This window comes from Homo sapiens, chromosome 7 (assembly GCF_000001405.40).
Source record: "Homo sapiens chromosome 7, GRCh38.p14 Primary Assembly".
NCBI lineage: Eukaryota > Metazoa > Chordata > Mammalia > Primates > Hominidae > Homo > Homo sapiens.
In genome coordinates, this window is record NC_000007.14 from 75124171 (window position 1) to 75150226 (window position 26056).

A 26056-nucleotide genomic window follows, 5' to 3' on the forward strand; every position below is an offset into this window, starting at 1 on the left:
CAGCCTAGTCAACATGGTGAAACCCCATCCCTACTAAAAATACCAAAGTTAGCCAGGCATGGTGGCGGGTGCGTGTAATCCCAGTTACTCAGGAGGCTGAGGCAGGAGAATCACTTGAACCCGAGATGTAGAGTTTGCAGTGAGCCAAGATTGTGCCACCGCACTCCAGCCTGGGTGACAAAATGAGACTGTGCCTCAAAAATAAATAAATAAAGAAGAATAAAAGAAGATGTCTTGCTGAGACTGCCTAAGTGGAGTAAGGAGACGGCAGGGGTGGGGGGTGGCACAGTTCACAAGGCACCTGCTGGGTGTATGACATGCTTCAGTTCTTCTTAGCCGGGGACTAAACACAGTGGAAAGTCTGTTTCGGGAGGGATGGTGAGTTCCTGTCATCCTCTAACTCACATTAAAGGACAAATGAGAGGGGCAGGGTGGCAGGTGGCCATGGATTGTTGTCCCAACTGACTTGTATCATCATCATAGAAAAACAATAATACAGTGGTCCCCCCTTATCCTCGGGGAATATGCTCCAAGACCCCCAGTAGATGCCTGGACCCATGGGTAGTACAGAACCCTTCATATACTATGTTTTTCCCTAGCCATACCTACCTAAGAGAAAGTTTAATTTATAAATCAAGCACAGGCCAGGTGTGGTGGCTCACGCCTGTAATCCCAACACTTTGGGAGGCCGAGGCGGGTGGATCATCTGAGGTTAGGAGTTTGAGACCAGCCTGGCCAACATGGTGAAACCCTGTCTCTACTGAAAATACAAAAATTAGCCGGGCGTGGTGGTGCGTGCCTGTAGTCCCAGCTACTCGGGAGGCTGAGGCGGGAGAATTGCTTAAACCCGGGAGGCAGACGTTGCAGTGAGCCGAGATCGTGCCACTGCACTCCAGCCCAGGCAACAGAGCAAGATCCATCTCAGTAAATAAATCAATAAATCAAGCAAAGTAGGAGATTAACAGCAATAACTAAAGATAAAATAAAATGATTATAACAATATGCCTTCATTACTACTCTTGCACTTTGGGGCTATTATGAAGTCAAATAAAGGTGACTTGAGCACAAGCACCCTGGCCTTCCCAGGACTGTCAGTCTGATAACAGAGCCAGCTACTCAGTGACTAGTGGGAGAGTAGTGTAGACAGCGTGGATTGCAGGACAAAGGGATGAGTCACGTCCCAGGCGGGACGGCACGACACTTCATCACGCTGCTCAGAACAACGTGTGATTTCAAACTTCTGAATTATTTCTGGAATTTTCCGTTTACTCTTTGCAGACTTTGGTTGACCTTGGGGAGCAAACCGAGGACCGCGAAACCACAGATCAAGGGGGAGCTCGTGTCATAGCAGCTCTAACTTAGTGCTTACAACATGCAGGCACTGTTCTAGTCATTTTGCGTATATTCATGAATCCTCCCACAACCACCGTGTTCACGAGGAAGCGGAGGCAGAGGGAGGTTTAGTGAGTTGCTGGAGGCAGCCCAGCTGGTGAGCTGAGGCTCAGCCGCACGACCGTGCTCTGGCCCCAAAACACTCCTCGGTAACCCCCATCCTGCCCACACAAATGGCCCCGGAACACAGCGGCTGCTTTGAGTCAGTTTCTCTCTCGATGACTTTTCCACGTTGGCTTCGATCTGGGAGTTCCGTTTTCTGTGTATTTGCTGTCAATTTCTATGCCTTTGGATGTTAGTCATTTTCCGAGGTGCTAAAAGGGGCTGGTGTGTGTTTTTTCATTCCTCTACAGGTGGCCCTGGGATGGTAACAGATGCGGAGAGATCCATAGTATCACCAAGTGAAAGGTAAAAGATAAATCACAGCAACCAAAATCCACAACTATGCACAGTGTTCGTTTTTGGATGACAGAAAGGCCTCCTTACAGCATTTAAGTGGAGTGTAAAGGGTTAATGTGCTTCTTCCCTTCCTTATTTTCTATCCTATTCTTTGTCCAAAAGGACCTTTGGAATTAGAAGACTATTTTCGGTAGACACGTTTAATTTGGGAACAACTTATTAAGACATTAATGTTAAAATGGAGGCATTGTTGCATTTGATTGAGGGGAGGAGGGGGATTTGGTGCTGCGGAGATCCAGGGCATTTGAGCTCATCGTGTCCAGGCGGCTGTGCCTGGTCCTCACCCTGCCCATCTGACCAGGGTTCCCTTCTCCTTGCAGCTGCGGCCCCATCAATGTGAAAACTGAACCCATGGAAGATTCTGGTGGGTACCAAGATGCTTTTAGAATCAAGTATCGGCCAAGCGTGGTAGCTCACGCCTGTAATCCCAGCAATTTGGGAGGCCGAGGCAGGCGGATCACTTGAGGTCAGGAGTTCAAGACCAGCCTGGCCAACATGGTGAAACCCTGTCTCTCCTAAAAATACAAAAATTAGCCAGGCGTGGCTGTGCGTGCCTGTAATCCCAGCTACCAGGGAGGCTGAGGCAGGAGAATTGCTTGGACCTGGGAGGCTGAGGCTGCAGTGAGCTGAGATGGCGCCACTGCACTCCAGCCTGGGTGACAGAGCAAGACCCTGTCTCAAAAAAACAAACAAGGCTGCGCACGGTGGATCACGCCTGTAATCCCAGCACTTTGGGAGGCTGAGGCGGACAGATCGCCTGAGCTCAGGAGTTCAAGACCATCCTGGCCAACGTAGTAAAACCCTGTCTCTACTAAAATACAAAAAATTAGCTGGGCATGGTCGTGTGCGCCTGTAGTCCCAGCTACTTGGGAGGCTGAGGCATAAGAATTGCTTGAGCCCGGGAGGTGGAGGTTGCAGTGAGCCAAGATCACACCACTGCACTCCACCTTGGGCTACAGAGTGAGATTCTGTGTCAAAAAAAAACAAAAACAAAAACAAAAACAAAAAAAACAAAAAAAAGAACCAAGTATCTAGCAGGTTATCATTTGACACCTTTCTTTTGTTTTATCAAATAAATAAATAAATAAATAAAGACCAGGGCGTGAATTAACCTCAGTGGAGCCTCATTTGCAGAAGAACCATTATTTTACTCAAATATCTAGAAAACAAGCCTTGGCAGGGTGTGGGGGCTCACGACTGTAACTCCAACACCTTGGGAGGCCGAGGCAGGCAAATTGCTTGAACCCCGGAGTTCAAGACCAGCCTGGGCAACATGGCGAGACTTCATCTCTGCAAAACATATAAAAAATGGTGGTGCATGCCTGTGATCCTAGCTACTCAGGAGGCTGAGGTGGGAGGATCGCTTAAGCCCAGGAGGTTGAGGCTGCAGTGAGCTGTAATGGTACCACTGCACTCCGGCCTGGGTGACAGAGAGAGACGTTGTCTCAAAAAAAAAAAAAAAAAAAAAAAAGAGAGAGAGAGAGAGAGAGGGAGCCTTCTAATTCAGTACATAATGGGGACTAAGATGTTATTAAATACACATACTTTTGGACAGAATATTATTTTATTTATAGTTGAATGAGAACCTGAATTTGAAATGAGTAAAACATTTTGAATATAAATTTGGAATTATTACTTGACTCACAAATAGAGCAGTGTTTTCATTTTTGGACATATACTACTGCTTTTTTGGACTTTTCTGTCATTTCTAAATGTTTTACAATATAGGTACATTACTATGACAGTGTATACTGGAAAAAAAATCCCTCTTCAATGGGGTTGACCCCATTCTTGCTTCTCCTCACTCCTCAATAAAAGAAAACCAGCATTAATTAGAGGAAAAATGTTAACAGGTTAAGATTAAAAAAAAAAAAGCTTAGGCCGGGTGTAGTGGCTCACACCTGTAATCCCAGCAATTTGGGAGGCCAAGGTGGGCGGATCACTTGAGGTCAGGAGTTTGAGACCAGCCTGGCCAACATGGTGAAACACTGTCTCTACTAAAAATACAAAAAATTAGTTGGGCATCATGGCAGGCGCCTGTAATCCCAGCTACTCAGGAGGCTGAGGCACAAGAATCGCTTGAACGCAGGAGGCAGAGGTTGCAGTGAGCCGAGATCACACCCCTGCATTCTAGCCTGGGTGACAGAGCAAGACTCTGTCTCAAAAAGAAACAACAACAACAAAAATAATTTAAAACCCAAATGTTCAATCAAGGGATGGGAAAATACTGAAAGCATTAAAAGTTGAAAGGTTCACGCCTGTAATCTCAGCACTTTGGGAGGCTGAAGCAGGAGGATCGCCTGAGTCCAGGAATTTGAGACCAGCCTGGGCAACAAAGCGAGACCCTGTCTCTACAAAAAATATTTATAAATAAAAAATTAGCCAGACATCGTAGCACGCACTTATAATCCCAGCTACTTGGGAGGCTGAGGTTGGAGGATCACTTGGGCCCAGGAGATAAAGGCTGGAGTGAGCCATGATTGCACCACTGCACTCCGGCCTGGGTGACAGAGCGAGACCCTGGCTTCAAAGAATAATAATCATAATCCAAAAGAAAAACAATATTCTGTGTTAAGAAACAAAGACCTGGCTGGGTCTAGTGGCTCACGCCTGTAATCCCAGCACTTTGGGAAGCGGAGGCAGGCAGATCACCTGAGGTCAGGAGTTTGAGACCAGTCTAGCCAACATGGTGAAACCCTGTCTTTACTAAAAATACAAAAATTAGGCGCCACCACGCACGCCTGTAATCCCAGCTACTTGGGAGGCTGAGACAGGAGAATCGCTTGAACCCAGGAGGCAGAGTTTGCTGTGAGCCGAGACTGCGCCATTGCACTCCAGCCTGGGTGACAGAGTGAAACTCCGTCTCAGAAAAAAGGAAAGAAAGAAAGTTCTAGAGAAAAGAAAAATAGAGCCTTTAGCATGAGTAAAATGAAGGAAGGACAGCAGCGTCTCTAAGACAGTGAAGATGTGGTTTATGCTTCGCAGTTCCTGGGATTCCTTGGGAGGGTCCAGGGACACAGTGGATGGGTCTCCTTGGCCCGCCTCCTCCTTTGTCACACCCAAGGATCTTTTCGCCACAACTGTGGGTGCACATGTCCCCTTCCACTCCCATGCAAACAAGTGCTTAGCAGAAGCTTCAGCTTCAGATGAGAGTCTGAACAAAAAATGGTGCTTCTCCTGTGCAGTGTGGTTCTAGGTCAAACCAAGACAAGTTGAATGGAAAGAAACGGGCGCAGTATTTCAGCTCAGCACAATTCAGCTGTGAGCACAGGTCAGCTGTGGAATCTTGGTCTCGTTTCTGACGTGACAGGCCTCAAACTCTTGCCCACTCAATATTAGCCTTGGATGTTTTCAGAGCTCAGATATCTTCTGCCTGTGTCTTACCTGGTCACAGAGAATTAAAAGAATACCCCAAGCCACAGGCTCCACATACAAACTGGGAAGATGAGGCCAGGCACGGTGGCTCACGCCCATAATCCCAGCAATTTGGGAGGCCAAGGTGGGCGGATCACCTGAAGTCAGGAGTTCGAGACCAGCCTGGCCAACATGGTGAAACCCCATGTCTACTGAAAATACAAAAATGAGCTGGGCGTGGTGGTGCATGCCTGTAATCCCAGCTACTCAGGAGGCTGAGGCAGGACAGTTGCTTGAACCCAGGAGGCGGAGGTTGCAGTGAGCCAAGATGGCACCACTGCACTCCAGCCTGGGTGACAGAGCAAGACTGTCTCAAAAAGAAAAGAAAAAAAGAAAAAAGAAAGAACCTGGGAAGATGAAGGGGGTGAGAGTGAGAAGTGATCAGTGTCCCCAGGGGCCGAGTTTCCTTCCTCACCAGCTGTTGGGCTAGATCTGTGGTTCTCACGTGCCTTTGTTGGAGATGTGGTTTCATTTGAACAAAAATATGCTTCCTTATTCACAAAACTTCCTACTGTAGACTTTATAAAGCGATATGGATTGCTACCAGCTGCCAGCAGGCTCCTGAGAGCTGGTCCTCAATTGGTCCTTATTTCTTGTGATATGTGTGTAGCATTTGCTACAAAAACAAACCATCTCCCTGGTTTTAATTTATTTTCTCTTTCTTTCTTTCTTTCTTTCTTTCTTTCTTTCTTTCTTTCTTTCTTTCTTTCTTTCCTTCTTTCTTTCTTTCCTTCTTTCTTTCTTTCTCTCCTTCCTTCCTTCCTTTCTTTCTTTCTTGTCTTGCCAGGCTGGAGTGCAGTGGCACGACCTCAGCTCACTGCAACCTCTGCCTCCCAGGTTCAAGTGATTCTCCTGTCTCAGCCTCCTGAGTAGCTGGAATCATAGGTGCACGCCGTCACACCTGGCTAATTTTTTTGTATTTTAGTAGAGGCAGGGTTTCACCGTGTTGCCCAGGCTGGTCTCAAACTCCTGAACTCAGGTAATCCACCCTCCTCGGCCTCCCAAAGTGCTAGGATTACAGACATGAGCCACCGCACCAGGCCAATTTTTTTTTCTTTTCTTGAGACAGAGTCTCGCTGTCGCCCAGACTGGAGTACAGTGGTGTGATCTCAGCTCACTGCAACTTCCGCCCCCCGGGTTCAAGTGATTCTCCTGCTTCAGCCTTCTGAGTAGCTGGGATTACAGGTGCCCACCACCACACCTGGCTGGTTTTTGTATTTTTAATAGAGACGGGGTTTCACCCTGTTGTTCAGGCTAGTCTCGAACTCCTGACCTTAAATGATCTGCCTACCTTAGCCTCCCAAAGTGCTGGGATTACAGGTCTGAGCCACTGTCCCCAGCTGAAAATCAGATTTTTAAATGTTTAGCTTCACTGTCCTTATACCAACAGAGCTGTTAAAGGTTTTCAGACGACCCCTCAGAACTTATAAATTATGTTAAACAATGAACCCCAAGCTATGCCACAGTTTTTTTGTTTTGCTATTACAAACATTCATGGTTAAATTACATGTACATTTTAGTATCAGTCATCTATTGCTGTATTTAAAAGTACCCCTGAAATGAGGCTGGGTGTGGTGGCTCACGCCTGCAATCCCAGCACTTTGGGAGGCCAAGGCAGGCGGATCACCTGAGGTCAGGAGTTGGAGACCAGCCTGGCCAACGTGGTGAAACCTTGTCTCCACTAAACATACAAAAATTAGCCAGGCGTAGTGGTGCGCATCTGTAGTCCCAGCTACTTGGGAGGCTGAGGCAGGAGAATCACTTGAACCTGGGAGGTGGAGGCTGCAGTGAGCCAAGATCATGCCATTGCACTCCAGCCTGGGCTGGAAAGAGAAGGGGAAGGGCTCCAATGGAATGGAATGGAATATTTAGTCTTTCCTACATTTCTGTGTGTTGGCTGGACTGGCTCAGCAAGGGCCGGATGGCTGTGTGTCTGAGGCCCCGGCTGGGACATCAGGGTCTCTCTCCTTGTGGCCTCATACCCTTTGGAGGCACCCTAGGCTGGCTCCCATGGTGATGAGGTTCTAGAAGCAGCAGGCACAGATGATCAAGCTCTTCTCAAGCCTCTCTTTGCATCCCATCGGCTGATGTCCCATTGACCAAAGCAAGTCACACAGCCAGGGCCAGATTTAAAGGGCAGAGAATGGCCTGGCGCCGTGGTTTACAGCTGTAATCCCAACATTTTGGGAGGCCAAGGCAGGCAAATTGCTTGAGTCCAGGAGTTCGAGACCAGCCTGAGTAACATGGTGAAACCTCATGTCTACAAAAAATACAAAAATTAGGCAGGCGTGGTGATGCATGCCTATAGTCAGCTACTCAGGAGGCTGAGACAGGAGGATCGCTTGAGCCCAGGAGACAGAGGTTGCAGTGAGCCATGATCATGCCACTGCACTCCACTGGGCAACAGAGCAAGACTCTGTCTCAAAAAATAATAACAAAATGGCAGAGAAACAGACTTTACTTCTAGAAAAGAAGCATGGGATAGTCACATTGCAAAGGGATGTACATCCTGGGATGGGAGAGGTCTTGAGCTAATTTTTGCAGCCAACCGCACCCTTCTCTGATAAAGGCGTTAGGTTGTACTGATATAGCTTCTCCAGGTTTTGAAATCCATTCCATTATAGTGAGTAAGTTAAGATTATAAGTGCCTAGCCGGGCACGGTGGCTTATGCCTGTAATCCCAGCACTTTGAGAGACCAAGGTGGGTGGGTGGATCACCTGAGGTCAGGAGTTTGAGACCAGCCCGGCCTACATGGTGAAACCCCGTCTTTACTGAAAATACAAAAATTAGCCAGGCATGGTGGCGTGGGCCACTTGGGAGGCTGAGGCAGGAGGGTCACTTGAACCTGGGAGGTGGATGTTGCAGTGAGCCGAGATCATGCCACTGCACTCCAGCCTGGGCAACAGAGTGAGACTCTGTCTCAAAAAAAAAAAAAAATGGTTATATATGTCAGTTCAGGCTTCATGACAGAAGAATCTTCACAGCATTTCATGTAAATGCACGTGGATATTCAGCCACCCTGAAGGGGAAAATCTCCCAAAACTAGGACTAGAATCAGAACTAAGCTCTCCCGCCTTCACGATGCCTTCCTTCATCCTCCTCTCCTTCCTTCTTTTTTTTTTTTTTTTTTTTTTTTTGAGATGGAGTCTCGCTTTGTCAACCAGCTGGAGTGCAGTGGCTCGATCTCAGCTCACTGCAACCTCCACCTCCTGGGTTCAAGCAATTCTCCTGCCTCAGCCTCCCATGTGGCTGGCTACAGGCGTCCGCCACCACTCCCAGCTAATTTTTGTAGTTTTAGTAGAGACAGGGTTTCACCATGTTAGCCAGGTTGGTCTCAAACTCCTGACCTCAAGTGATCTGCCCGCCTCAGCCTTCCAAAGTACTGGTATTGGAGGCATGAGTCACCGTGCCCGGTCCCCTCCTTCCTTCTTTCCTTTTCTATTGATTTTACAATTGATATTATTTTTATATAAACATACATAAATACACAAATGTATGTTTTCTATATGTATATTATTTTAATTTATAGTATTTCTATTTTTGTATCAAGAGGTCAAATTTGTTCATAGTGAGTGAGCTACAAGTTCTTTTGCTGATTGTAACATTGCTGTATTAATCAACTTATATTAGCTAGTCGTATTTCTTTGTTGGCAAACTTAACCTAACATACAATTTTATCATTTCCATTACATTCCAAGGCATTTCACTGAAAGCAGAAGCTGTCTCAGTCAAGAAAGAATCAGAAGATCCTAATTACTATCAATATAATATGCAAGGTAATACTGTTTGATAATAATTTTCTTCCCCAAAAGTTATTTGGGATGGAAGATTTTAATTACTACCTGTCTGAAAAACTGGCGAGCACCCATGTGTGTTTACCTAGGATCAAGCATGCTGCCATTTAGAGTAAATAATCCTACAGTTATAAAATAGATTCTATTTAGCCTAAATCCATGTACTCTTTTGTTTGTTTTTTTACAGAGATGAGGTCTCACCTTGTTGCCCAAGCTGTTCTCTAACTCCTGGGCTTAAGTAGTCCTCCAGCCTTGGCCTCCAGAAGTGCTGAGATTATAGGCGTGAGCCACCATGCCTGGGCTAAATCCACATACTCTTTTTTTTTTTTTGAGACAGAATCTCACTCTGTTGCCCAAGCTGGAGTTCAGTGGCACTATTTCCACTTACTGCAAACTCTGCCTCCTGGGTTCAAATGATTCTTGTGCCTCAGCCTCCCAAGGAGGTGGGATTACAGGCGTGTGCCACCACGCCTGGCTAATTTTTTGTATTATTAGTAGAGACGGGGTTTCGCCATGTTGGCCAGGCTGGTCTCGAACTCCTGACCTCAGGTGATCCACTCACCTTGGCCTCCCAAAATGCTGGGATTACAGGCATGAGCCGCCACACCTGACCCATAAGGCTTTTAAAAAGAAGTCATAAATTGTCACGACTGTCATGATTTTGCACCACCTAATGAAGCAGTGCATCTTGGCAATAATTGTCAGTGGTCATTAAAACCATTTTATAAAAGTCTGATGGGGACTTTATCATGGGCAGACCTGACTGACAGTTCCTGAACTGACTGGTCACTGGTCTCCTGACGGTATCCAGTAGGAAGTACACCACACCACCTTTGTCAAGGATTCTTCCAAAAAAAAAAAAAAAAATCAAACCTGGCCAGGTGTAGTGTCTCATACCTGTAATCCCAGCACTTTGGGAGGCCAAGGCAGGTGTATGACTTGAGCCCAGGAGTTCAAAACCAGCCTGGGCAACATGGTGAGACGCCGTCTCTACAAAAAATACAAAAAGTAGCCGGGCATGGTGGCACACACCTGTAGCCCCAGCTACTTGGGAGGCTGAGGTGGGAAGATCGCTTGAGTCTGGGAGGTCAAGGCTGCAGCGAGCTGTGATCACACCACTGCACTCCAGCCTGGGTGCTGGAGTGAAACTCTCTCTCAAAACAACAACAAAACAAAACAAAACAATCAGACCTAAGTCTGATCCAGCCTTTAGATCTAACCAGCAGTTTTTAGGAGATGCATGGAATACAGGCACATATGAAAACATCACCACAAGGATGTAGTCAATAAAATCCAGAATGTGAGAAACTCAGAGAAATTAATTGGTTTATGTTTTTTTTGTTTGTTTTTTTTTAGACAGAGTCTCGCTCTGTCGCCCAGGCTGGAATGCAGTGGCGTGATCATGGCTCACTGCAACCTTCACCTCCCAGGTTCAAGTGATTCTCCTGGCTCGGCCTCAAGAATAGCTGAGATTACAGGCATGTGCCACCACACTCGGTTGATTTTTGTATTTTTTTGTAGAGAAGGGGTCTCACCATGTTGGCCAGGCTGGTCTCGAACTCCTGACCTCAGGTGATCTGCCCGCCTCCACCTCCCAGAGTGCTGAGATTACAGGCGTGAGTTACCGCGCGCAGCCAGTTTTATTTCAAGGGGTAGAAGTATTTCAGGTGTATTCCTGCGTGGGTATTGACTTGTTTGCATTGTATTCAGTGATTTCTTTTTACATTTTTGTATTTCTCCTTTGTTATATATTATTTATTTTTCTTTCAGGAAGCCACCCTTCTTCCACAAGCAATGAAGTAATAGAAATGGAATTACCAATGGAAGGTTAGAAAAATGCAGCATTTTTTCTCTCTCTTTTAAGAAAAGTTTATAGAAGTTTATAGTATTTTACAAAGAACATACTTTTTTTTTCTTTTTTGAGACAGAGTCTCGCTCTGTCACCCAGGCTGGAGTGCAGTGGCGCAATCTCGGCTCACTACAACCTCTGCCTCCTGGGTTCAAGCGATTCATGTGCCTCAGCCTCCTGAGTAGCTGCGATTACAGGCGCGTACCACCACGCCCGGCTAATTTTTGTATTTTTAGTAGAGACGGGATTTCACCATGTTGTCCAGGCTGGTCTCGAACTCCTGACCTCAAGTGATCCGTCCACCTCTGCCTCCCATAGTGCTGGGATTACAGGCGTAAGCCACCATGCCCAGCTGAAAGTTTATAGTATTTTACAGAGAACATACTCTTTTATACATGTAAGTTGGAAAATAAGGAAGGTGACTTTCTGGCATGCCTGTCTTCTCAGAAAACTATGAATAGTTGAGCTCTTGCCCTAAGATATAACATGAAGGGCTCTATCACTTCTTGTGCTTCTGATCTGTGAGTGATTCTACTTAAAGCACCCGAATATGGAAGTTAACTTTGCAGTGGTGCTGTTTCTTGCTTTGTCTTTTGGATGGCATGACATAATTCTTTTGGACAGAGTCGAATAGTATTTTAGGAAATCCTTGCATTAGAAGTAAAATTTGATAATACTTCCCTCCATTCATATATAAATCTTGAGCATCATATGAATAAAGCCTAAATTCCTACGGTGGTTTGTGTATGTCCAAGATAAAATTAATAATTTTAAAAAAGGGCCAGGCATGGTGGCTTATGCCTGTAATCTCAGCACTTTGGGAGGCTGAGGTGGGCAGATCACCTGAGGTCAGGAGTTCAAGACCAGCCCGGCCAACATGGTGATACCCTGTCTCTACTAAAAATACAAAAATTAGCCAGGCGTGGTGGCAGGCACCTGTAATCCCAGCTACTCGGGAGGCTGAGGCACGAGGATTGCTTGAAACTAGGAGGCGGAGGCTGCAGTGAGCCGAAATCGCACCATTCCACTCCAGCCTGGGTGACAGAGTGAGACTGTCTCAATAATGATAATAATAATAATAATAATAATAATAAAGATTTCCTTTCCAAACCTAGAGGCGTGGGACATCTTTGCCATTTACAGGCAATGTGATCTTACTTTTAGTTGTATATATCTGCCTTAGAGAGATAGTGACACATGGACTACCAAAATGATTCTGTTTTTTTTTTTTTTTTTTGAGACAGAATCTCACCCTGTCACCCAGGCTGGAGTGCAGTGTGTCACGACCTTGGCTCACTGCAGCCTCCACCTCCCGGGCTGAAGCAATTCTCCCTCCTCAGCCTCCTGAGTAGCTGGGATTACAGGCGTGCGCCACCACGCCTGGATAATTTTTGTATTTTTAATAGAGTTGGGGTTTCACCATGTTGCCCAGGCTGGTCTTCAACTCCTGACCTCAAGTGATGCGCCCACCTCGGCCTCCCAAAAGTGCTGGGATTACAGGTGCGAGCCACCGTGCCCGGCCCAGTTACTGTTTATTATCCTATTATTATTGCTTATAAAATTAAAATTATGTTTATATTATTTATATATGAAATATATTTAAAATGCCAGGATAAGCTACTTTTTTGGTATAGGAGCATTAATGTGTTGGAATATGAGGAGAATACTTAATAATGAATGTCATTTTAGACATTTTTTTTTCAAGATTCCACTCCGCTGGTCCCTTCAGAAGAACCAAATGAGGACCCTGAAGCCGAGGTGAAAATCGAAGGTTAGTTGCCCAAAGCCCCATTGCCAAGTATGGTTTTCATTCTTTCTAACAGGATTAATTGCAGGGAGGATGGCAGAGCTCAGTGGCTCAAGCCTGTAATCCCAGCACCTTGGGAGGCCAAGGCAGGTGTATTGCTTGAGCCCAGGAGTTTGAGACCAGCCTGGGAAACATGGCGAAACCCTGTCTCTACTAAAAATACAAAATTAGCCAGGCGTGGTGGTGCATGTCTGTATTTCCAGCTACCTGGGAGGCTGAGACAGGAGGATCGCTTGAACCTGAGAGGCGGAGGTTGCAGTGAGCTGAGATCTCACCACTGTACTGCAGCCTGGGTGACAGAGCGAGATTCCATCTAAAAAAAAAAAAAAAAAAATTGTGGGGAAGAGATTGAAATCTCTAATGTAGTATAATGTGTATATATAATAGAGCAGCCATTCCCATTAGGGCCCAATGCTTTGAGGTGTTGTAGACAACATAATTAGCTGTGCAAAAAAAAATTAGAAAGAAAAGAAAAATAATAACTAGGCATGATGGTGCATGCTTGTATTCCCAGCACTTTGTGAGGCCAAGGCAAGAAGATCATTTGAACCCTGGAGTTCTAGATCAGACTGGGCAACATAGTGAGACTATCTCTGCAAAAAGTAAACATTAAGAAAAAGTTAGGCAAGGCACAGTGGTTCACGCCTGTAATCCCAGCATTTTGGGAGGCTGAGGTGGGCAGATCACTTGATCCCAGGTGTTTGAGACCAAATTGGGCATAGTGAAACCCTGTCTCTACTAAAAATACAAAAAGTTAGCAGGGCATGGTGGCACACACCTGTAGTCCCAGCTATTCGGGAGACTGAGGTGGGCCAATCACCTGAGCCCAGGGAAGTCGAGGCTGCAGTGAGCCGTAATTGTGCCACAATACTCCAGCCTGGGTGATGGGAGTGAGCTCCTGCCTCGAAACAAACTAACAAAAATATCAGCCATGCATGGTGGCATGCATCTGTAGTCTCAGCTACTTGGGAGGCTGAGGTGGGAGGATCGCTTGAGCCCAGGATTTTGAGGCTGCAGTGAGCTGTGATTATGCCCCTGCATTCCAGCATGGTCAACAGAGCAAGACTCCATCTCTAAAAATAAAAATTAAAAAAAAATTTTTTTTTAAGTCTTGCACGTTAGCACTGACCCACAACTGGGCCTCAACTGTGCTGTGTTCACGTGAGGAAAGAATGAAGGGTTGAGGGTACATGAGGGGGGAGAATGGAAAGAAAAGGACGATTCACTCAGACATAGCCCCTTTGCTACTGGAGTGGACAGATAAATATCAAAGGTAACTCCGCAGGCCTGCAGCCGGTGAACTCAGTTGAAGTGCAAGTATCTAAAGGAAGTGAAGTTGAAAGTGTGATTTAAGGCTGGCGTGGTGGGTGGCTCACACCTGTAATCCCAGCACTTTGGGAGACCCAGGTGGGTGAATCCCTTGAGGCCAGGAGTTCAAGACCAGCCTGGCCAACATGGCGAAACTCTGTCTCTACTAAAAATACAAAAATTAGAGCCGGGCGTGGTGGCTCACGCCTGTAATCCCAGCACTTTGGGAGGCCCAGGTAGGTGAATCACTTGAGGTCAGGAGTTCTCAACCAGCATGACCAACATGGTGAAACTCCGTCTCTACTAAAAAAAAAATACAATTATTAACTGGGCATGGTGGTGGGTGTCTGTAATCCCAGCTACTCAGGAGGCTGAGGCACGAGAATCACTTGAACCTGGGAGGCAAAGGTTGCAGTGAGCCGAGATCGCACCACTGCACTCCAGCCTGGGTGATAGACTCAGTCTCAAAAAAAAAAAAAAAATTAGCCAAGCATGATGGTGCATGTCTGTGGTCCCAGCTACTCACAAGGCTGAGGTGGGAGGATCACTTGACCGTGGGAGGTCGAGGATGCAGTGAGCTAGGATCACACCACTGCACTCCAGCCTGAATGACAGAGTAAGAACCTGTCTCAAAAAAAAAAAAAAAAAGAAAAAAAAATTCAGTCTGGGCTTCTGATCAAAGCAGCACTTAGACATATTTAAAGGAGAATTGGTCTTATTCTTGGTAAATTCTAAACTTCAACTTCTGTTTTAAGGAAACACAAATTCATCCAGTGTTACAAATTCTGCAGCAGGTGTTGAAGATCTTAACATCGTTCAAGTGACTGTTCCAGGTATGGACTAATGTTACATTTTTCCTTTTGTCTTAATTATTTTTTGACATAGGCTGGTCTCTTGGACCTGTCATTTTTCACTTAGTTCACCCTGATAGCTAAGAAATGACATTTCGGGAATATAAAATATTCTGCAAGTTGCTACACAACGAGCATCTTGCTCACATCAGACATTATTAATCGGATATTTTGCTTCTCCTGGACAAGCCCGGGCATTACCTGGAAAATGCATCTCAGAGCAGGCAGCACGGAGCACCAGCTATGGTTGAATTGGAATTGGCCACAGAGGTGAAATGTTTTGTTGCTCATCATTAACAATCTTCTGGCCGGGCACGGTGGCTTACGCCTGTAATCCCAGCACTTTGGGAGGCTAAGACGGGCAGATCACGAGGTCAGGAGATCAAGACCATCCTGGATAACACGGTGAAACCCTGTCTCTACTAAAAATACAAAAAAATTAGCCGGGTGTGGTGGCGAGCACCTGTAGTCCCAGCTACTCGGGAGGCTGAGGCTGAAGAATGGCGTGAACCTGGGAGGTGGAGCTTGCAGTGAGCGGAGATCACACCACTGCACTCCAGCCTGGGCGACAGAGTGAGACTCTGTCTCAAAAAAATAAATAATAATAATAATAATAATCTTCTTTTCTGAATATGTGTATGTAAAATATATCTGGAAAGATACAAGAGAATCTAATTACATAGTTCCTCCAGGGAAGGAAACTGACCGCTGAGATAGGGATAGGAGAGAGACGTTTGAGATGTTTCTGTATATTACTCCTCTTGAATGTTGAGCCATGTGATTGCTTTAGTTATTCAAAAGTAAATAAAGTTTTAAAGTGTTGAAAAATATCTAAAAAATAAAAGCAAAAAAAAAAAGGACCAGGCATGGTGGCATGTGCCTGTAATCTCAGCACTTTGGGAAGCTGAGGCAGGAGGATCACTTGAGCCCAGGAGTTTGAGACCAGCCTGCACAGCACAGTGAGACTCTGTCTCTAAAAAACAAAAAGAAAAGAAAAACAGACCGGGTGCGGTGGCTCACACCTGTAATCCCAGCACTTTGGGAGGCTGAGGCAGGTGGATCACCTGAGGTCAGGAGTTCGAGACCAGCCTGGCCAACATGGTGAAACCCCATCTTTACTAAAAATACAAAAATCAGCTGGTGTGGTGGTGGGTGCCTGTAATCCCAGCTACTTGGGAGGCTGAGGCAGGAGAATTGCTTGAACCCAGGAGGGGTGCAGTGAATTGCTTGAACCCAGGAGTTTGCAGTGAGCCAAGATTGTACCATTGTACTCCAGCCTGGGTGACAAGAGCAAAACTCAGCCTCAAAACAAAACAAAACAAAACAAACAAACAAAAAAAGAGAGGAAAAAAAGGAAAGAAAATAAAAATATACCTTACCTTCTAATCCTAGTACCTCTTATTCCTTTTACTTGTCATATTTCATTGGCTAAGATTTCTATTTTAAGGCCGAAAAGTGGTGGTGAAAGTAAACATCCTTGTCTTTTTTTTTTTTTTTTTTTTTTTGAGACGGAGTCTTGCTCTGTCACCCAGGCTGGAGTGCAGTGGCGCGATCTCGGCTCACTGCAAGCTCCGCCTCCTGGGTTCACGCCATTCTCCTGCCTCAGCCTCCCGAGTAGCTGGGACTACAGGCGCCTGCCACCATGCCCGGCTAAATTTTTGTATTTTTAGTAGAAACGGGGTTTCACCGTGTTAGCCAGGATGGTCTCAATCTCCTGACCTCGTGATCCACCTGCCTCGGCCTCCCAAAGTGCTGGGATTACAGGCGTGAGCCACCGCGCCTGGCCCTAAACATCCTTGTCTTGTATGATATTGAAAATATTCCTTAAAAGTAGTATGTAGTATGTTTATATAGGGTTATAATTTGGAAAATTCTCTATTGTCTGTAATGGCTTCCATTTCCAAATTTCCAAGATGCTTAATTATTGCTAAAAGTAGACTGAATAACAATCCAGGTAAAGCACTTTCTCGGGTGCTAACAGGCATTTCTCCCAACAGCTTTCTTGGGAGAAAATACATTAATAACCTTGGTTTGTTTATTTGTTTAATTATTTTTAGATAATGAGAAGGAAAGATTATCAAGCATTGAAAAGATTAAACAGCTAAGAGAACAAGTTAATGACCTCTTTAGCCGAAAATTTGGTAAGTTTTTATATCTTTTTATATCCAGAATTCATATACCTAAAATACTTCTTTTTAAAAGAATACTTGGCCAGGTGCATTGGCTCATACCTGTAATCCTAGCACTTTAGGAGGCTAAGGCTAGAGAATCACTTGAGCCCAGGAGTTTGAGACCAGCCTGGGCAGCAAAGTGACACCCCAGGTCTACAAAAGGAAAAAAACAAAACTTTATCTTATAAGAATTTGATCTTGGCTGGGCGCAGTGGTTCACACTTTTAATCCCAGCACTTTGGGAGGCCAAGGTGTGTGGATCACTTGAGGCCAGGAGTTCAAGTCCAGCCTGGCCAACATGGCAAAATCCCATCTCTACTAAAAATACAAAAAAATTAGCCGGGTGTGGTGGCGCACACCTGTAATCCCAGCTACTCAGGAGGCTGAGGCACGAGAATCGGTTGTAACTGGGAGGCAGAGGTTGCAGTGAGCTTAGATCGCGCTATTGCACTCCAGCCTGGGCGACAGAGTGAGACCCTGTCTCAAAAAAAAAAAAAAAAAAAGAAATTGATCTTTTTGTGAAAGAGCTATGATAAAAATTAGTCAATATGTCTTTTTACAGAAGAGCTTTTGCATGGTATCATTGACTAATTACAATAATAATAATAATAGCTATCTTTGTTTTACTGAGTGCTTACCTTGTATATTATTTTTTGTGCTCAACATGTGTTTGATCATTTAATCCTCACATAAAACCTTTCAGGTAGGCGCCATGATAACCCTGTGTAATGGATGGAGGAACTGAGTTTGCCTACTACCCATGCTAATTCCAAACTTTTAAAATTATATTCACACATCATAGTAGCACTGGAAAATAAAATGACTGATCATAAGTATTGTCATTTGATGCTTCTAAATCCTGACATTAAAGATAAATCCTGGTTTAGGAAACGTAAGGAACAAACTCAGCTAGTTTTATTTGTGTTGTTGTTTTTTTAATTTGTTGTTTTGTTTTGTGTTTTGTTTTGAGGCAGGGTCTCGCTCTGTCTCTCAGGCTGGAGTGCAGTGGGGCGATCTCGGCTCACTGCAACTTCTGCCTCCTGGGTCCCTCCCATGTGGCTGGGATTACAGGCATGCGCCACCACGCCCAGCTAATTTTTGTATTTTTAGTAGAGACAGGGTTTCACCATGTTAGCCAGGCTGGTCTCGAACTCCTGGCCTCAAGTGATTCACCCGCCTCAGTCTCCCAGAGGGCTGGGATTACAGGTGTGAGCCACCGTGCCCAGCCAAACTCAGCTGGTTTTATGCTGCTCATCCCGTCACAGGTGAAGCAATTGGCGTGGATTTCCCTGTGAAAGTTCCCTACAGGAAGATCACATTCAACCCTGGCTGTGTGGTGATTGATGGCATGCCCCCGGGGGTGGTATTCAAGGCCCCCGGCTATCTGGAAATCAGTTCCATGAGGAGGATCTTGGAGGCAGCTGAGTTTATCAAATTCACAGTCATCAGGTAAGTGAGTCAAGAGAAGGAATCTGGAGACTCTGACTTGCCCGAGGTGGGCATGTGGCTGCCCAGGAATGTCTGTCCCATGACTTGGGCTGGGGGTTTGTTCCCGCAGCTGACCGCTGGGCCATGCTGCCTCTCACACTGACTTCATCATCTTCTGCTTCCTTGAGATGTGTCCATGTCCCTGTTCCTCGGTGATCATGGGCAGCCCGTCCCAGTTTTAGCTCACACAGCACCTAGCGTAGAGTTAATACTCTGCAAAAATTTGTCCAATAAAACTAAGTGGGGCCAGGCACGGTGGCTCACGCCTGTAATCCCAGCACTTTGGGAGGCTGAGGCGGGCCAGATCGCCTGAGGTCAGGAGTATGAGGCAAGCCTGGCCAACATGGTGAAACCCCGTTGCTACTGAAAATACAAACATTAGTCGGGTGTGGTGGCGTGCGCCTCTAATACCAGCTACTCAGGAGGCTGAGGCGTGAGAATCACTTAACCTGGGAGGTGGAGGTTGCAGTGACCTGAGATGGCACCACTGCACTCCAGCCTGGGCAGCAGAATGAGCCTCCATCTCAAAACATAAATAAATAGGCCGGGCATGGTGGCTCAGGCCTGTAATCCCAGCATTTTAGGAGGCTGAGGCAGGTGGATCATTTGAGGTCAGGAGTTTGAGACCAGCCTGGCCAACATGGTGAAACTCCATCTCTACTAAAAATAAACATTAGCTGGGTGTAGTGGTACGTGCCTGTAATCCCAGCTACTCAGGAGAATCACTTGAACCTGGAATGTGGAGGTTGCAGTGAGCCCAGATGACACCACTGCACTCCAGCCTGGGTGATGGAGTGAGACTCCGTCTCAAAAAAAACAAAAACAAAAGGCTCAACGCAGTGGCTCATGCCTGTAATCCCAGCACTTTGGGAGGCCAAGGTAGGTAGATCTCCTGATGTCAGGAGTTCAAGAGTAGCCTGGCCAACATGGTGAAACTAAAAATACAAAAAATTAGCTGGGCGTGGTGGCGGGCACCTGTAATCCCAGCTACTCAGGCGGCTGAGGCAGGAGAATGGCTTGAACCCAGGAGGCGGAGGTTGCACTAAGCCGAGATCGCGCCACTGCACTCCAGCCTGGGTGACGCGGCGAGACTCTTGTCTCAAAAAAAACAAAAACAAAACAAACAAATAAATAAATATTCTTCTGTAAAAAAATAAATAAGTAAAAATTAAAAAAAAATAAAACTAAGTGGGCAAAAGAGGAAATGTGAGCTTGTCACATTTATCAATGTGTCTTTCTCTTCAGGCCGCTTCCAGGGCTTGAGCTCAGTAATGGTGAGTATTCTACAGGTGAGAAGAACGTTCCGGCAATGTTGGGCCATGGGAAGTGTCTTGGTGGGCGCTCACCACGGGGTTTTTGCTTCCGTGAGCCTGGGACCCAAGTATGCAGCCTTCGATGCATGCTTTATTTTTCCTGCATGTGATAAAGTTAGATAACTCTGTTACTTGAGTTTGATTAACCAGTCTGAAGGAGAGTGATCTATATCACACCATGAGTGTGACGTGTGATGTGGCGCACTCTTTTTTTTTTTTTTGGAGACGGAGTCTCGCTCTGTCACCCAGGCTAGAGTGCAATGGCACAATCTCGGCTCACCACACAACCTCCGCCTCCCGGGTTCAAGTGATTCTCCTGCCTCAGCCTCCCGAGTAGCTGGGACTATAGGCGTGTGCCACCACGCCTGGCTAATTTTTGTATTTTTAGTAGAGATGGGGTTTTGCCATGTTGGCCAGGCTGGTCTTGAACTTCTGACCTCAAGGGATCTGCCCGCCTCCACCTTCCAAAGTGCTGGGATTACGGGCATGAGCCACCACGCATGGCTGATGTGGCACACTATTCAAGTGTGCTTTGTGGTGGGGGCTCCCCTGAGGCCACCCGCACAGCTGCACTCAGGATCACAGTACCGATCTCCTCTGTGTTAGTTGGTAAATAGTGCCTGCCTGGCCATGCAGTCCCACCCTAGTACCCTCCGACCGTGGCTTGACCTCCCTACAGTGCTGAAGCAAAAGGGGTTCCACCTGGCACAGCAGAGGCCCCTAGAACCCTTCCAGTGCTGAGACTAGCATCTGTTCTTTTTTTTTTCTTTTTTTTTTTTTTTGAGACAGAGTCTCGCTCTCTCACCCAGGCTGGAGTGCAGTGGCAAGATCTCGGCTCACTGCAACCTCCGCCTCCCGGGTTCAAGCGATTCTCTGCCTCAGCCTTCCGATTAGCTGGGATTACAGGTGCGTGCCGCCACATCCAGCTACTTTTTGTATTTTTTAGTAGAGACAGGGTTTAGCCATGTTGGCCAGGCTGGTCTCAAACTCGTGACCTCAAGTGATCCACCCGCCTTGGTCTCCCAAACTGCTGGGATTACAGATGTAAGCCACTGCACCTGGCTCAGCATCTGTTCTGATTGAGCAATGCCCAGGCACTCTGCTTCTGAAATATTCTCTTTTTTTTCCCCTTCAACTTTTATTTTAAGTTCCAGGGTCCATGTGCAGGATGTGCAGGTTTGTTACACAGGTAAACGTGTGCCATGGTGGTTTGCTGCACCTATCAACCCATCACCTAGGTATTAAGCCCAGCATGCATTAGCTATTCTTCCTGATGCTCTCCCTCCCCCCGCCCCCACCCTGTTAAATATTCTTAATGTCTTCCCCGGAGCCCTTGCAAGTGAGTCAGTATCCTGTCAAGTAGAATACGGAGAGGTGTTCTCACGAGCATGAGTCACCAGGGAACCTCCTAATGTAACATTTGAAAACCAAAGTAGGCTGGGCGCGGTGACTCACACCTGTAATCCCAGCACTTTGGGAGGCCGAGGCGGGCGGATCATGAGGTCAGGAGATGGAGACCCTTCTGTACAACGTGGTGAAACTCCGTCTCTACTAGAAATACAAAAATTAGCCGGGCATGGTGGCGCGTGCCTATAATCCCAGCTACTCGGGAGGCTGAGGCAGGAAAATCACTTGAACCAGGGAGTCGGGGGTTGCAGTGAGCTGAGATCGTGCCACTGCACTCCAGTTTGGTGACAGAGCAAGACTCTGTCTCAAAAAAAAAAAAAAAAAGAAAAGAAAACCAAAGTATCCTATTAAAATGCTCCATTTTTATTCCCAAACGCATCTGATTGCTAAATGATTTTTTGATCTTTTATAATATCTTTATTTATTTATTGTATTATTATTGGGGTTTTTTAGAGACAAGGTCTCACTCTGTCACCCAGGCTGGAGTGCAGTGGCATGATCATAGCTCACTGCAGCCTGGAACTCCTGCCCTCAGGTGATTCTCCCACCTTCACCTCCCGAGTAACTGGGACAGCACTGCCATGCCCAGATAATTTTTTTTTTTTTTTTTTTTTTGTAGAGACAGGGTCTCACTATGTTTCCCAGGCTGGCCTTGAGCTTCTGGCTTCAAGCGATCCTCCTGCCTCAGCCTCCCAAAGTGCTGGGATTATAGGCATGAGCCGCTGTACATGGCCTACATTTTCTTAAGGTGCACTTTTATGTGTGTGTACTCTGGAAATACCTTGATTACCTGCAGGGTGGCCAGGTTCTTTAAATCTAAAACACTAGTCCCTGTACACTCGAACACACTTATACGAATGAGTTTTGTGTGGTTCTGTGGCCGTCACCCTTGTCATTTGAGACTCACAGTAGGTAAAAATCATATGCCTTTCTGTGCTCATTCCCATCTCTGTTATTACAAAGTTTTCTTGGGAATCAAATGAGAAAATATATTAAAATGCTCACACCTATAATCCCAGGACTTTTGGAGGCCAAGGCAAGAGGATTGCTTGAGGCCAGGAGTTTGAGACCAGCCTGGGCAACATAGCAAGACCCCATCTCTACAAAAAATTTAAAAATTAGCTGGAAACAGTGGCTCACACCTGTAGCCCCAGCTACTTGGCAGGCTAAAGCAGGAGGATCACTTAAACTCAGGAGTTTGAGACAGCAGAGAACCATAATTGCAATACTACACTCCAGCCTGGGTGACAGAACAAGACCCTGTCTCTAAAAAGAAAATGCAAACATATTATCAAATAATTCCTGTTTAAACTGGACATAACAAGCACAGCTACATGCTGAACCTCATCAAAGGTGTCTTTTGTTTGGCTCATGTACTTTTGAAAATAAGGATGAGGCCTGGCACGGTGGCTCCTGTAATCCCAGCACTTTGGGAGGCCAAGGCGGGTGGATCGCTTGAGCCTGGGGTTTCAGACCAGCCTGGGCAACAAGGTAAGACTCCAGCTCTACAAAAAAAAGAAAAAGAAAAAGAAAAAAAGAAAAGAAAGAAAGAAAGAAAAGATAGCTCGGTGTGGTGCATGCCTGTAGTCCCAGCAACTGGGAGCTGAAGTGGGAGGATCACCTGAGCCCAGGGAGTTCCAGGCTGCAATGAGCCATTATCACCACAAACCAGGCACTCTTTCATAAAGGTCAATCTTCAGGTTTTCTTTAGAAAACCTGAAGATCTGGCTGGGTGCAGTGGCTCATGCCTGTAATCCCAGCACTTTGGGAGGCTGAGGTGGGCGGATCACCTGAGGTCAGGAGTTCGAGACCAGCCTGGACAACATGGTGAAATCTCATCTCTACTAAAAATACAAAAATTAGCTGGGCGTGGTGGCAGGCACCTGTCATAACAGCTACTCAGGAGGCTGAGGCAGAAGAATCGCTTGAACCCAGGAGGCAGAAGTTGCAGTGAGCCGAGATTGCGCCACTGCACTGCAGCCTGGGCGACAGAGCAAAACTCCGTCTCAAAAACAACGACAACAAAAATTCAGTCTTCAGGTTTTCTTTAGAAAACTTGAAGATCTGGCCACAGCTGGCGTCCTGGCAGCGGTTTGCTGGAGTTGAGGGTCAGCCGTCCCTCTGCAGGGTGGGTCACCCTCCTGTTAACCACGCCCTGCCCCGCCCCGCTTCCTCCCTCTCGTGCGTCATCAAGCATTTGCTGTTGTTTTCCTCATAGTAGTGATAAGAGAAAAGTGAAATATCTTTGTCTCCCTGTCTCTGTCAAAAGTGGGAAAACGCAAGATAGACCAGGAGGGCCGTGTGTTTCAAGAAAAGTGGGAGAGAGCGTATTTCTTCGTGGAAGTACAGAATATTCCAACATGTCTCATATGCAAACAAAGCATGTCTGTGTCCAAAGAATATAACCTAAGACGCCACTATCAAACCAATCACAGCAAGCATTATGACCAGTATACGGAAAGAATGCGTGACGAGAAGCTTCACGAGCTGAAAAAAGGGCTCAGGAAGTATCTCTTAGGCTCGTCAGACACCGAGTGTCCCGAGCAAAAACAAGTGTTTGCAAACCCAAGTCCAACCCAGAAATCCCCCGTGCAGCCTGTAGAGGACCTAGCTGGGAACTTATGGGAGAAGTTACGTGAAAAAATCAGGTCTTTTGTGGCATATTCTATCGCAATCGATGAGATCACGGATATAAATAATACCACCCAGTTGGCCATATTCATCCGTGGTGTCGATGAGAATTTCGATGTGTCCGAAGAACTTCTGGACACGGTGCCCATGACGGGTACAAAATCTGGCAACGAGATCTTTTTGCGTGTTGAGAAGAGCCTGAAAAAGTTCTGTATCAACTGGTCGAGATTAGTAAGCGTGGCCTCCACTGGCACCCCAGCGATGGTGGATGCCAATAACGGGCTTGTCACAAAACTGAAGTCCAGGGTGGCGACGTTCTGCAAGGGTGCGGAACTGAAGTCCATCTGTTGTATAATTCATCCGGAATCACTCTGTGCTCAGAAGTTGAAGATGGACCACGTCATGGACGTGGTAGTGAAGTCCGTGAACTGGATATGCTCCCGGGGACTGAACCACAGCGAGTTCACAACCTTGCTCTATGAGCTGGACAGCCAGTATGGTAGCCTCCTGTACTACACGGAGATTAAGTGGCTCAGTCGCGGGCTCGTGCTAAAGAGATTTTTCGAATCCTTGGAAGAAATCGACTCCTTCATGTCATCCAGAGGGAAACCCCTGCCTCAACTGAGCTCCATAGATTGGATCCGAGACCTGGCCTTCTTGGTTGACATGACGATGCATCTGAACGCTTTGAACATCTCTCTCCAAGGACACTCCCAAATCGTCACGCAGATGTATGACCTGATCCGGGCGTTCCTAGCAAAACTGTGCCTCTGGGAGACTCATTTGACGAGGAATAATCTGGCCCACTTTCCCACCCTGAAATTGGTTTCCAGAAATGAAAGCGATGGCCTGAACTACATTCCCAAAATCGCGGAACTCAAGACCGAATTCCAGAAAAGGCTGTCTGATTTCAAACTCTACGAAAGCGAACTGACTCTGTTCAGCTCCCCGTTCTCCACGAAGATCGACAGTGTGCACGAGGAGCTCCAGATGGAGGTTATCGACCTGCAATGCAACACGGTCCTGAAGACGAAATACGACAAGGTGGGAATACCAGAATTCTACAAGTACCTCTGGGGTAGCTACCCGAAATACAAGCACCATTGCGCAAAGATTCTTTCCATGTTCGGGAGCACCTACATCTGCGAACAGCTGTTCTCCATTATGAAACTGAGCAAAACAAAATACTGCTCCCAGTTAAAGGATTCCCAGTGGGATTCTGTACTCCACATCGCAACGTGATGGAGAGAAAACTCCTGGCAGGGCCCTATGGTGGGAAAGGCTGGAGTCTTCTAGTCCCAAGGGATTGGGAGATGACAAAATGAATTTTTTTTTTCTTTTTTGAGATGGAGTCTTGCTCTGTCGCCCAGGTTGGAGTGCAGTGGCGTGATCTCGGCTTACTGCAACTTCCAGCTCCTGGGTTCGAACGATTCTCCTGCCTCAGCCTCCCGAGCAGCTGGGACTACAGGCATGCGCCACCATGCCCGGCTAATTTTTGTATTAGTAGAGATGAGGTTTCACCATGTTGGCCAGGCTGGTCTCCAACTCCTGACCTCAGGTGATCCACCTGCCTCGACCTCACAAAGTGCTGGGATTACAGGCATGAACCACTGTGCCCAGCTGACAAAATGAGTTCTTAAACTTTTTTTTTTTTTCAGTTTTTTTTCCACTTTGAATCAGAAATATAATCTGCAGTATCATACTTGTTTATATTACATTGTATGCCTCACTATTCATTAAAAATCAAGAAAGTTTTATTGTATTATTGGTAGTTGACTTTTCTTATGCCTGGCTTGTTTCATTCATTCACATTACCTGCCTGCCACCCTGATAGGCACTGTAGTTGGCATCTTGAAGTTTAAATCAATCAACAGAGAAATAGGGAGAGAGACGTGTATATTTGCTTTTTGGTTTTGGGGGTTCTTTTTTTGAGACGGAGTCTCACTCTGTTACCCAGGCTGGAGTGCAATGGGGCGATCTGGGCTCACTGCAGCCTCTGCCTCCCGGGTTCAAGTGATTCCCCTGCCTCAGCCTCCCGAGTAGCCGGGGTTACAGGTGCCCACCACCACGCCCGGCTCATTTTTGTATTTTTAGTAAAGATAGGGTTTCACCATGTTGGCCAGGCTGGTCACAAACTCCTGACCTCAAGTGATCTGCCGGCCTTGGCCTCC

General features: G+C 46.4%; 1 protein-coding gene across 2 annotated transcripts in view; it reads left to right on the forward strand.

The window, feature by feature from the left end:
• The window catches only part of GTF2IRD2B (GTF2I repeat domain containing 2B), a 57262-nt gene extending 31615 nt beyond the window's left edge, over positions 1 to 25647 (forward strand). For both annotated transcript variants that reach the window (NM_001003795.3, NM_001368302.1), the window contains exons 7-16: positions 1746 to 1800; positions 2172 to 2215; positions 8965 to 9042; positions 10831 to 10887; positions 12615 to 12680; positions 14780 to 14857; positions 16933 to 17016; positions 18312 to 18495; positions 19780 to 19808; positions 23524 to 25647. In NM_001003795.3, coding sequence (NP_001003795.1) covers positions 1746 to 1800; positions 2172 to 2215; positions 8965 to 9042; positions 10831 to 10887; positions 12615 to 12680; positions 14780 to 14857; positions 16933 to 17016; positions 18312 to 18495; positions 19780 to 19808; positions 23524 to 25127 — 2279 coding nt within the window. In that variant the 3' untranslated portion in view covers positions 25128 to 25647. The remainder of the gene's footprint in view (positions 1 to 1745; positions 1801 to 2171; positions 2216 to 8964; positions 9043 to 10830; positions 10888 to 12614; positions 12681 to 14779; positions 14858 to 16932; positions 17017 to 18311; positions 18496 to 19779; positions 19809 to 23523) is intronic.
• Positions 25648 to 26056: the final 409 nt, after the last annotated feature.